The 13,431-nt window shown below is 38.0% G+C and overlaps 1 protein-coding gene across 2 annotated transcripts in view; it reads left to right on the top strand.

Annotated features, from left to right (window-relative positions):
• The window catches only part of LOXHD1 (lipoxygenase homology PLAT domains 1), a 180,260-nt gene that overhangs the window by 37,285 nt on the left and 129,544 nt on the right, over positions 1–13,431 (top strand). For both annotated transcript variants that reach the window (NM_144612.7, NM_001384474.1), the window contains exons 5-6: positions 1,646–1,744; positions 9,012–9,160. In NM_144612.7, the coding sequence (NP_653213.6) occupies positions 1,646–1,744; positions 9,012–9,160 (248 nt within the window). The remainder of the gene's footprint in view (positions 1–1,645; positions 1,745–9,011; positions 9,161–13,431) is intronic.

Raw genomic sequence — 13,431 nt, 5'->3', positions numbered from 1 at the left:
GTAAAGCAAGAGGTGTGGGAGTCTGACAGTGGCTGCTCCTCCTGGAGCTCTCAGTTAGGGACAAGAATTGCAGGATTCTTCCCTACCCCATTGATGGGTTTCCTCAAGTGAGGATTGAGGAGAGAAAGGGAAGGCACTGACCGCTGCTGCCTCAGTGTTCTCACCAGTTCAAGGCCAACTTTCAGGGGCTGTGTGTGGGCTGTCCTCTGTGGGGCTCCTGCAGGATCCTGCACCGTGTCACCTCTAGAAGGGATGAAATTAAGTTTTCTCCTCATCTCTCCAACCTCAGTCCTTTGCCCTGAGCAACTTCCTGGAGACTTTGAATTTTAGGAAATTTGATTCCATTTATTTTCCAGCGTACTTAATGAGACTGTAATGTACATGCCCAGCACTGTGCTAGGGTATGTGGGAGAGATTATCTAGGAGAAGGAAGTCCTGCTCCCAGCCCTCCTATAAATACTTGAAATTAGAAGCCTTACTTGCAGGAAATGGCAAACAACACAAGACAGTAAATGACAAAACTCAAAAATCATTGTCACAGGCAACATAGCGGAGCTGAGGAATACAGAAGAGAAAAACCTCTAAGGGCCAGGGACAGGGCTCAGAGAAGGCACTAGGGAACAGGTGGGCAGAGGGGCTGGGACTCTGAACCTTGATTAGAACAGCTCTAGTTTTTACCAGTTTCACATATTGGGCAAAAGACACCTATAAAAAAGGATTCTGCTACATAAAAAATATGAAGCCACTGTAAGAAGGGAAAAGGGGAGGGAGAGTGGTCTCAGCCCTTGGAATTGTTGGCACCCAGTGAAAAGCTGGAGGATTCCCCTTCCCTTGACCACAAATACCAACCCCTGACCTTTGCTCCTCACTCTAAGGCAGGCTCCAGCTGGGGAGACCTGGGCAGGTCTCATCATGTCAAGTTTACCAAGCTTCGTCTCCCATCAAGGCCATGGCTGAGGCTGAAGCTAAGGCATTTGGAGGTTACAGGGGATTAAGTTTTGTTCAATGAATGGAGCAAAGATACAGGAAGCAGATACAGGTCTTTGAAAGAGCCCTAAGCATGCCAGCCACTATTGGTGCCTCTTGTCTTTGCATTGGTTATGGCTTTGACAATTTACAGATAAATTTGATTTTCATCTGCAGAATCCAGTTTTCCCAGTGAATTTTTATGCTATGGTGCAATGTGGAAAACAGACTGGGAAAGGCAGAGGAGATACAGAGGGCCTAGTTAGAGACATTTCAATAGTTCAGGGGAGATATGGTGGAGGTTGGTTCAGGGTGGCACCTTGGGTCTGGGCTGATCCCTGTGTTTCAAGGCAACATGTTAGCAGATAAAAACAGAAGGTCTTCTCTACCTCTGATTTATTCATCACATACAGTGATGGTCATACATCCAATGGCCATTTGGAACTAATGTTGAGTGAGTTGTTTTTTGCTCTGTTGTTGACAGTAATGATGACAATTCATGCAATGACCATTTGGAACCAATGTGGACTGACTTGTTTTTTGCTCTGTTATTGACAGTAATGGTGACAATTTATGCATTGCTGGGGGTAAGTGTAGATGGTGTGGTAGCTACTTTGGGGCCTCTATTCTCTTTTCAGGATCCTGATGAGCTAAGGTTTTTCTCTCTCCTTGTTCCTAGGTAATAAGTATGAAGTCAAGGTATACACTGGTGATGTAATTGGTGCAGGGACAGATGCTGATGTCTTCATCAATATTTTTGGAGAGTATGGAGACACAGGTAATGGGTTTGAATTATTTTTTTCATAAGCCAAGCCCAGGACTATTTTGTAGATGGGGTTCCCACAATCCTGGCAGAGGAAGGCAGCTTGAGCCCCACTTTGGGCTCCTCTATTGAGCATCTCACTTCTTGTGATGTGGTTTGGAGTGACCTGTCCTGGGCAGCAGGTGTTCATTTTGTGTTGTAAAGTTTATGTGTGTGATGTGTTTTCCGATTATAGTATGGCTGGTGTGTGGGTTGATTGCAATTGTCCTGCATCTCAGACCATGGACACTCCCAAGCTTCACATCTCTAGGAAACTCATTCTCACTTACTCTATCTTCCTAAGCTTCATGCCCATCTTGAATTATACTTTGGGATGTTGCTGGGTGTGGCCTGATTCAATGCAGTAGTTTGGGGCAGAACAGAATGAGGCTGGGAATACAATTTGACTTGGCCTCACAGGGAAAGCAAGAACTGAGAGCTCAGACACAGCTGTAGGTGTTGAGAGGAAGTTCAGGTCAGAAGAATGAGACAGGTGGTTCTCTTCTGCTTCTGCCAATTTAGCAGAATTACATAGGAGTTGGAAAAGCTACAAAGACATGTGAATTTTGTAACAATATACTAAAGAATTCAAAATGCATTGCTAAGCTTATAAGGAAAAAAAAAAAAAGAGAAATCTCCAGGTGCCAGTGCTAGAAATGAAGAGGGAATTCAAAACCAAAGTGTTAACTATGAATAGATGTGGTGGCTCCTGGAAGGAGAGAGCTTTCATGCTCAACAATCTAGGGGATGAGCTTTCATACCCATGTGGGGTCAGGAAATGAGACCTTGGCCCTGTATGAGTCAAGAGATTTGAAATTAAAACTGAATATAAAGCCAGAAGCCCTGATGGTTCAGAGGAGCATCTTCAGTGAAAAAATAGACCAGGAAAAAATTTGCTCATCAGTACAGTAAATGTTTCTTGGCAAGAGCTCTAAATTTTAAAAAAAATACTGAGAAATTGATACCTTAGGCCTGCACTGCATGTGGGCTTGAGGTTTGATTTAACACTACAAGTGTGATTTGGGACCCCCTCTCCCTCAAGTACAGAAAATTGGTTTCATGCCAGTAATACCTTTAGATATTTGGCAAAAGCATTTGCAAGACTGCCTGAAATTTCCACAGATAAAATACTGAAGATGTGTTCACTTTCCAAAACTACAAAACACTCAAATATATAATTCATCATAACTAAGCATTAATCAACACAACACACAATAAGATTAAATCCTCAAGAATTTCAGATAATTAGATACATTGTGGTGAAACTAAAGGCAAAGGGAAATATTTTAAAAGGAAACAGATTTGGCAGATTACTTTCTATAAAAACAATAGTTAGATTGATAGCAAATTCCTATCAGCAACCTATGTAGGTTATAAGCACGTGGAATAGTGTCTTCACTATTCTAAGCAAGGATATATATCACCCCATAATTCTATACCAGCTAGGTTATCATTCCAGAGTGACGGCTAAATTAGCAAATTTCTATGCAAACAAAGATAAATAGAGTTTACCATTCATATGCTTAAACAACCACTAAAGGATATACTTCAAGAAAAAGGAAATTGTACACAGAAGAAAGGAATGAGATACAAGAAACAAAGGTGAGCAAAAATGGATAACTATGTAATGAATCTAAGCAAGCATTGACTATACAAAACAACAAAAATGATGACTAACATCAGCGCATGAAGAAATGTGGACCTCAACAATTAAAATCAATAATATTTGAGAAGGAAAGTGGATGATGAGAGTTAAGACATAGTAAGGGTCTTGGCCCCTGCTGATCTCCCCATTCCCAGGAGAGTAGGGATAATGATTAACTGTAGATTTTAATAAGTATGCATATCAAAATTGTAAAAGTAACCACCCCAAAACAGAAATGTATAATTTGAAAACCAAAGGAAGACATAAAAGGGAATAAAGAATCAATCCAATCGAAGGAAGGAAATGAAGAAAGGGAAGCAAAGAAAAAGCATGGCTAATAGCAAAAGTAAAACAAATGTATTAATAAATAGAACAGAGTCAGCATTTAAAAGATGGATATTCTTTTAGATGAAAATTCAAAAATCCAGCTTAAATACAGTATATGATACAGAAAGTCTGAGAATAAATGGGATGAAATAAAATATACCAGGAAAACATTAACAAACAGGAAAGATTCTGGCATAGCTATATTAATATCTGTCAAATGAAACTTTAAGGCAAACAACTTTGTTCAAATAAAAATAGACAATGACAAAAGGAATAATGACAAAAAGAATGATGCAATAATTTTTAACTTGTGTAAACTTAACAACATATTCCCAAGATATGAAGCAAAAATTAACAAAATTCTTGGAGGAATTTGGCAAATACAGAATCATAGTGGGAGATTTTGATACAATACTCTCAATAATGGATAGGCCAAATGCATACAAATTTAGTATGAGTGGAAAAGATTTTAACTACACAGTTAATAAGCTTGACCTAAAGGGAGTATATAGATTACTGCATCCAACTGGTAGAGAATACACATTCTTATCAAGCATATAATGAACATATACAAAATCACAAAGCAAGCCTTAACTTAAAATGAATCAATAATATAGGGACAACATTCTTTGATCATAAGGCAATAAAATTAGAAGAAATGTCCACATCTCACCCCATTTAAAAATTAAAAAGCATATGTCTAAGTAATTAAAGAATAAATTATAATATGAATAATCTGATGGCACATGTTATATCATCATCACCACCACCACCACCCGGAACAGAATTTATCTGGGGAAACTAGAGGACACAGTAGCAATAGCAACTATGCAGGTCCCTGTTACCCATCACATACTGGGTCATTCCAGGAGGATCTTGCAGGGCAAGACTGCAGACCTGGGAGAGAAAAACTGGCCCTTGGGCTGTGAGGTCTAAGCTACATTATTGGAGAAGGCTAGCCTCTTTCCTGGGGCTGGGGTCCCATAGCAATATGACATGGGAGAATCTTTGCCTTTGGTCCTCTTCTGCCACATCATCATTTATGCTTGAGGGAACATGAGGGTCTCCTCTAGCATAGTAAAGAGGCTGGGGTCCAAGCCTTATGATTGCCACTATATGATGTAGCCTGATCTTTCATCTCAGCATCCTAAAAAGATTCTCTTAAGAACATACTATAGCCAAATTCCAAGGAGATCTGTAATCACTAAAGAAATTAGAGCAGCAATTAAAATTCACCCAAGACATCACACCAAGAAGATTGTTCAGGCAAAATCTAACAAATATTTAAGAAATTATGAATCTCCATCTTATATAAATAGTTTCGAAGAATAGGGAAAAAGGTAATGTGTCCTAGTTTATTTTATGATTTTTGATACCAAAATCAGGCTGATAAATTAAGAGAAAGAAATGTACAGATTAGTCTTATTTATGAATAAAGACCTAAAAAGTTATTTATTTATTTATTTATTTATTTATTATTATACTTTAAGTACTAGGGTACATGTGCACAACATACAGGTTTGTTACCTATGTATACATGTGCCACGTTGGTGTGCTGCACCCGTTAACTCATCATTTACATTAGGTATATCTCCTAATGCTATCCCTCCCCACTCCCAACATCCCATGACAGGCCCCAGTATGTGATGTTCCCCACCCTGTGTCCAAGTGTTCTCATTGTTCAATTCCCACCTATGAGTGAGAACATGCAGTGTTTGGTTTTCTATCCTTGCGATAGTTTGCTCAGAATGATGGTTTCCAGCTTCATCCACGTCCGTAAAAAGGACATGAACTCATCCTTTTTTATGGCTGCATAGTATTCCATGATGTATATGTGCCACATTTTCTTAATCCAGTCTATCATTGATGAACATTTGGGTTGTTTCCAAGTCTTTGCTATTGTGAATAGTGCCGCAATAAACATACATGTGCATGTGTCTTTATAGCAGCATGATTTATAATCCTTTGGGTATATACCCAGTAATGGGATGGCTGGGTCAAATGGTGTTTCTAGTTCTAGATCCTTGAGGAATTGCCACCCTGTCTTCCACAATGGTTGAACTAGTTTGCAGTCCCACCAACAGTGTAAAAGTGTTCCTATTTCTCCACATCCTCTCCAGCACTTGTTGTTTCCTGACTTTTTAATGATCACCATTCTAACTGGTGTGAGATGGTATCTCATTGTGGTTTTGATTTGCATTTCTCTGATGGCCAGTGATGATAAGCATTTTGTCATGTGAAAGACCTAAAAATCTTAAATATTAGCACACCAAATTGATAAATAAATATATAGATATGTGACAAATAATTTCTACTCTGTAGGGTTTATTCCAGGGATTTAATGATAATTTAACATTAGTCTATTTGTATAATTTATTATAGTAACGGATTAAAGAGAAAGAATTATCTTGATAGATGCAGGAAAATTTGCATTATTTACTTTTTAAAAACCCATAGAAAACTAGAAATAAAATTTCTTTTGAAAAATATAAGGCTATCTACCAAAATATGCACAAATATCATGCTTAATTTTGAAAACTTGAAAGCACTCTTTTTAAAGTCAGAAACAAAAGAAATAGTCCAGCTACTCATTATTTCTATTCTTCACAGTACTAGAGGTCCTAGGGCCAGAAAAAAGGGCAAGTAAAATAAATAAAAGCTATAACGGTTGAAAATGAAATAACAGACTTTCATTTTTGTAAAAAATAATGATCATCTACAAAATCCAGGAGAATTTACAAACCATTAGAACCAATGAAAGAGAAAGTTACTAAAGTTGCTGGATATAAGATTACAATACAAAAAGTAATAAAAATTAGTAATGCAAACATTTAATTTAAAAATATATTATTTGCATTAGCAATTACAAGTTACCTAAGAATAAATATTAAAAAGAGCCTTTTGGGAAAACTATAAATTTTTATTGAAGGATATACAAGAATATGTAAATAAATTGAGAAATATGTTCGTGGATGAGAAAAGACTCAAATTCATTAATATGGCAAATTTTCCCAGGTTGTTTTATAAATGCAATGCAATTTCAGTTGAAATCTTAAAAGGCAATACCCCACAGCTTACATTGCTACTAATATTCATGTAGGGCTAAGCCATAAAGAGCTAAATATTGACAAGACAATTTTGAATAATGAAAATAATGCTAACAATATTAATAACATGAGAATATTTGCCCTGCCAGATATTAAGACATTTTAGGTCTCTAAAAACTAAAACAGTGTGATATTGCTAGATGGATAAACAAAATAAAGCAATGAAACAGAATAAAGAGTCTAGAAGCACACATAGAGTTGGCATTGTAAATCAGAAGGAAAAGATGAAATGTTCGATTACTGGTATTTGAACAATTGTCTAACCATATGAAAAATGATAAAATTAAATTCCTGCCTTTTACCACTCACAAAATAACTTTCAGATGGGCTGAAGACTTAAATGTGAAAAAACAAAAATAAAAAATTTTTAGAAGAAACTCTAAAGGAGTATCTTTTTAATCTCAATTTAGAGATGGGATTTTGTAAATAATTCATTAAAAGCATAAGCAACAAAGGAAAATATTGATAAATTGAAGTCTATTAAAACAAGAAAAATATCTGTATGATAAACATAGGCAAACAAGACAAGAGAAAAATGGAATAAAAGATATAAATGGAAAAATTACAGAAGAGAAAAGCCTAAATGGCCAAAATATATTCATGAACATATTCTCAATCTCCCCAAATAAGCAGGGGAATGCAAATTAAAACTACAATAAGATGCTGTTGGGTACACACTGAATAAAAATTTTAAAAAATATATGTTAATGTTTGTGGGGAATGGGAATCTTCATATACTACTGGTGGTAATTAATGTAATACAACCATTTTTGGAGGTAAATTTTGCAACATCTAATAAACTGAAGATGAGCACACCTCAGGGTTCAGAAGCTGTAGGTATCTATTCAGAGCTGTTCTTACAAATGTGCAGTAGGAGATAGGTACAGAAGAGTCCATTTTAGTGCTGCTTGCAATAGCAAAAAAATAGAAGCAACCTAAATGTCCATCAGTAGAAGAATGCATAGACAACAGTGTTTCCTTTATTCAATGACTATTATACAGCAGTCAGATGAATAAACTAAAGTTATGACTATCATCAAGGTACTCTCAAAAGGATAACATTAACTGAGAAAAAGCAAGTAGCATAAGGGTATGTGACAATGATAACAGGAACAATAGCAACCACCTCAGCAGCAATGATAATATAATAGTGACTATCACACTTCAGGAGCCGTCTTTATAGATACATATATATGCAAACAAAAATTCTTGGGAATGATATATACCAAGTTGAAGATAGTGTTTATTTTGGGAAAGGAGTAGAAGGGAAGAGATGGACAGTGAGGCCTTAGACATATCTGTCATGTTTTACATCCTTAAGAAATGAGAAAGGTCTGGAGAAAACTGGACAAAATGTTAGTATCTGTTATCTCTCTTAAATCTGGATGGTGGGTACATGAATGTCTTATATTATTTTCTGTATGTTTGAACTGTCACAACCTAAAATTTAAAAAAAATTAAAAAGAAAGAACACAGGATGGTTTCAGCAAAAATTGGTGCCTAGATAAGATTTGTAGATACACAATAATGGAAAATTGCAGAGCAGAAAGAACAGGTTAAAATTTGAGTCCTAACTAAGTGCTTATAACCTGCATGACTTTTGGCAAGGTGTTTAACTTCTCTAAGTCTCTGTTTCTTCATTTGCAAGACGGAGTTAATAATATCTCCTTCTTGAATTGTGGTGAGGAATAAATGAGAGTAAAACCCAAAACTATGTTAAACAACCAGCAGCATCTGATAGTATTAATACTTACCAGCACTGTTTTCCAGAAAAGGAGTCAGGTCTAAGGAAGTCTGTAGGCTGAATACCGACAGCCCCTTTACCAACTGCTGTGGCTATTGTTCCAATTCAGGACAAGCAACTGGCAAAAGCAAGGCAGGGTCCTAGATCTAGAGATGGGGGTACAAATCGGTTTAGTAGGATCGGGACTCTAGAGTAAGGCAGAAATCAAAAGCTCAGTTATAAGACCTGGGCACAAGCCACACATGAAGCAAACCTCTGCCTTGTTCAGAGACTGGAGGGATGTAAGGAGCCCTTAGATCTCAGGAGGAAGTTGCCCTTGTTAACTTTGGAAGAGCATCTTTCAGTGGGCGGACCATGAAGGCTTGGAAATTCTTTTCTTCTGGTCTTTTTGTAATTTCTTTTGTATGTCTGTGCATACAGGGGAGCGTAGGCTAGAAAATGAAAAGGACAACTTTGAAAAGGGAGCTGAAGACAGGTTCATCCTGGATGCCCCGGATTTGGGGCAGCTGATGAAGATCAATGTTGGCCACAACAATAAGGGGGGCTCTGCAGGTTGGTTCCTGTCCCAGGTGAGTTCAGCTGCTTCTCTGCAGTCCCTGTGGCCTTGGAAGGGGGGCCTTCTTGTTCTTCAGAGGGTTGTATCTCAGTCCCAACTTTCCTCTCTAGGTCCATCTGCATCCACTCTTCTACCTAAGCCAGATGGCCAGCCATTCTGTCCTCCTTATGGCCTCCAAGACTTCATCCACGTTACCATCTTCACAGGAAGTCCAGTACTTTCTCTTTTTTTCCTCTCTCTCTCTCTCTTTTCTTTTTAGGGTACATGTGCACAATGTGCATGTTTTTACATAGGTATACATGTGCCATGTTGGTTTGCTGCACCCATCAACTTGTCATTTACATTAGGAATTTCTCCTAATGCTATCCCTCCCCCAGCCCCCCAGCCCCCGACAGGCCCCGGTGTGTGATGTTCCCCGCCCTGTGTCCAAGTGTTCTCATTGTTCAATTCCCACCTATGGGTGAGAACAGGCAGTGTTTGGTTTTCTGCCCTTGTGATAGTTTGCTAAGAATGACGGTTTCTGGCTTCATCCATGTCCCTGCAAAAGACATGAACTCATCCTTTTTTACAGGAAGCCCAGTACTTTCATCTGAACCTAGCCGGGGCCTGTTCATTCTTCAAGACTCTGCCATGAAGCCTTCCCTGACCGTGGCCCACCAGAACCTCTCCCTCCCATGAAACTTTAGAACCCTGCTTGCTTATAGCATTCATTTGATCCAAGCGTACGCTTTCTTGTGACTTATCTTGACCTGTTGCTTTGTACCACAAATTTCTGGATCTCAAGTGTTATAGTTTCACCTATCCAGGACAAAGTTAAGAATCAAGAAGAAAGCAAAAAGGCTCCTGAGCAGCTAAAACATATTCCATTCAAAGTTTGTAAAGAAAGCTCGTGTCCCTGGCTCTATCTGGCCTTGCCCTGATTTTGAAGGAAGCCCCCTTCAGACTTGCACTCAGAATCTGGTGCTTACCTGTAATCCCTTCTAGTAAACTTGTTTCCTGTCATTTTAAACCTCTAGCGGAAAATTAGAAGGGGAAAGAGGCACTGTAATGGGTAGTGTTATCGAGAACAGTAAGGGGAAGTCAGAGAAGATATAAAATACCAAAAGAGTATTAAAAATTCACACCAGGCTGAGGTCCGTTAGAAAACAGGCAACCGGCCTTTTGCATAGACTTCCCTCAGTTATGAAGACATCAACGTATAATATTTCTGTTCATTACAGAATGATAGGAAAAGGTTAATGTGTTATATATTTTTGAAAAAGTATTTTGAGAAAGGTCTTATTGCTTAAAATAGAAAACTCAGATTTATAACAACTTGACTGTAAAGAATGAGGCTGTCTGATAGTTGAGGTTTTATTATTGCTTAACTTTATTTATCTTCTTATATTAGGAAAATATTTGGCTGCAAGGATCAGAAGATTCAAGTGCAGTGTTAAACAACTAGGAGCTTATTTTTTTCAGCTCATCCTGCATTTCTTCAGCCAGGAAATCCAAATGTGGTCAGCTCAGGGCTGGTGCAGCTGCTTTCTGATGCACCTGCTCCCTCTCTGCGTTACCATCGCCAGCACTGGGACTTTCATCCTCCAATTTGTTGCCTCATGAGCACATGATAGCTACTGAATCTCTAGGCATCTTATCTATGTTCCAGACAGAAAGAGGGGGAGAGAAAATGGGGATAAAGGCTTTGACAAGGGGCATAAAGACTGTTTTCTGGCAAATGATGCCTTATTTTGAAAAAAGCAGAGCCCTCCTTGGAACTTCTGGCTACATTTCACTGGCCAAATATGTATTATGTGGACACCCTAGCTGCAGTGAAAACTGGGAAATTGGGCAGTTAGCTTTCAGCCTGTAGAATAGAAGTGGACTAGGAAGAAGGTGATTGGAAAGGGTGTTGAGTGAACATCCTAGTGATGGCCATACCTGTTTTCATAATTAGTCTGAAAGTTCCTTGAGGGCACCTCCCTAGCTCTTGGCATGGGACTGGGCATTGAATCAACAAAGGAAGAAATGCCCAAATTCCTTTGGAAAGGAAGGGCTTGCCTGGTCCTAAGAGCAGCAAGCCTGGAGGGTACCAGGAGGCTAAGTGGAACTGCTGCTTGGATTGGAGAAGAAATAGGGTGTGAGTCCAGAATCCAAATAGCCAATACATCAGCAGAAGTGTGTTTTCAGGTGGTTTTCTGCTTAGCTGGGCAAAGCGGGGAGAGGAGGCCTGTGCATTTTATGACCTCAGCCAGGGCAGGGCACAGAACAGGTACCTTGAAGTCCACTTTCTTCATTCTGAAAAGAAAGACAGCAGAGTAAAAACACAAGGTTTAGTGGACAGAGCTTTAAAGGGTGAACAGTTTCACCCTCTTGAACTCAGGTTCCTTCTTGGTCACATGGGTGCGTTGTGCTCTTAGGAAGGTTCCCCAAGGAGGCAGGTTCATATGCCAAGATGTGTTTCTTTGTTGTCTTACCCTCAAAGGGCAGCTTGGCAAGGTGTGAAATCTATGGGTGAAAACACTTTTTTCCTTTAAAACTTTGTGGATTGTATTCCGTTAACTTCTGAAATTTGATATTGAGGCCAAGTAGACTTTTCGTTTCTTTCCGGGTAACCTAATTTTTTTTCCTGCCAGATGCTTGCAGATGTTTTTCTTTATATTAATTCAAAAGTCTTGCCAGACAGCATCTAGGAGTAGGGTCTTTGCCTGCCCGCCCTTCCTTCCTCCCTTCCTTCTTTCCTTCCTTCCTTCCTTCCTTCCTTCCTTCCTTCCCTCCTTCCTTCCGTGTTTGTTTTTAATTTCTCTGAAACACAGTATGTGTTTTCTATCTGATGGGCAGGCTATTTGTTTATTCATTTATTTGTAATTAATTTATTTATAGGTCAGAAAAGAGATTTCTTATTGTATGTTAGATTCTTGCTCGGGTGGCATTTGTTCTGGTCTCTTTCTCAGGACAGCCAATTGCCCATCTATTGGATTTCCATTCTCTACCTTCCAAAACCGGCAGCTTCCCCTTTACTCCTGTCATCTCTACTTTTTTGCATTCCTTGAGAACTTGTCAAATTCCCACCACATCATTGATTTGCTGTTCCACACTGAGTTCCACTTCTTTCTCCTGTCAATGTATATTTCAATTCTGAATGTATTTCTTTTAATTATTTTTTCTTATAAAACTAATACATGTTCATCATAAAACATTTAGAAAATACAAATAAACAACAAAAAAAACCACTCATAATTTTACCACCCAAAAATAACCAGTTAATATTTGGATGAATATCCTCTAGTCATTTTTCTATTAATTAATATATATATATCACTTATCACCTATATATATGTATCATATTATCACCCATATATATGTGTGTATATATATTCATTATGACACCATATATATGTATATATGTACATATACGTACGTATATATGTATATATGTACATATATGTATATATGTATGTATATGTACATGTATATATGCACATATATGTGTATATATATATGACACCATATATATATGGTGTCATAATGAATACAATATTTTACAAATTTGTTTTCATTTTTAAATATAGCATGCATATATCCCCATGTTATTTAAATATAATGACATGGCTATTTTACAATATAATTTTTTTTTTTTTGAGACAGAATGTCACTCTGTCACTGAGGCTGGAGTGCAGTGGCACAATCTTGGCTCACTGCAATCTCTGCCTCCCGGGTTCAAGCGATTCTTCTCCTGCCTCAGCCTCCCAAGTAGCTGGGATTACAGGTGCCCGCCACCATGCCTGGCTAATTTTTGTAGTTTTAGTAGAGGCAGGGTTTCACCATGTCAACCAGGCTGGTCTCGAACTCCTGACCTTAGGTGATATGGCCGCTTCGACCTCTGAAAGTGCTGTGTTTACAGGTGTGAGCCACCACGCCTGGCTACAGTGTAATTTTTAATGATGGAAATAAGTGTTTTAGATCTACCATGACTTATTAAACCAATCTCCTTTGGTCAAATGTTTCTATTTTTTCCTCAAAATTATTATATGACATAATTATGCTATATACTGTATATTATGTAATATATAAAATGTATATTATGCTATACAGGTTGAATATACCTTATTGGAAATGCTTGGGACCAGAAGTGTTTCAGATTTCAGGTTTTTTTGAATTTGGAATATTTGCATATACATAATGAGATATCTTGGGATGGGACCCAAGTCTAAACATGAAATTTATTTGTTTCATATACACCTTATGCAAGTACCCTGAAGGTAATTCTACACAGTATCAGTCAATAATTTTTTACATGAAGCA

The sequence above is a fragment of the Homo sapiens genome, chromosome 18 (assembly GCF_000001405.40).
Source record: "Homo sapiens chromosome 18, GRCh38.p14 Primary Assembly".
Lineage (NCBI taxonomy): Eukaryota > Metazoa > Chordata > Mammalia > Primates > Hominidae > Homo > Homo sapiens.
The sequence above is the reverse complement of the archived record's forward strand: the minus strand, read 5'-3'. Positions and strand labels throughout refer to the sequence as shown.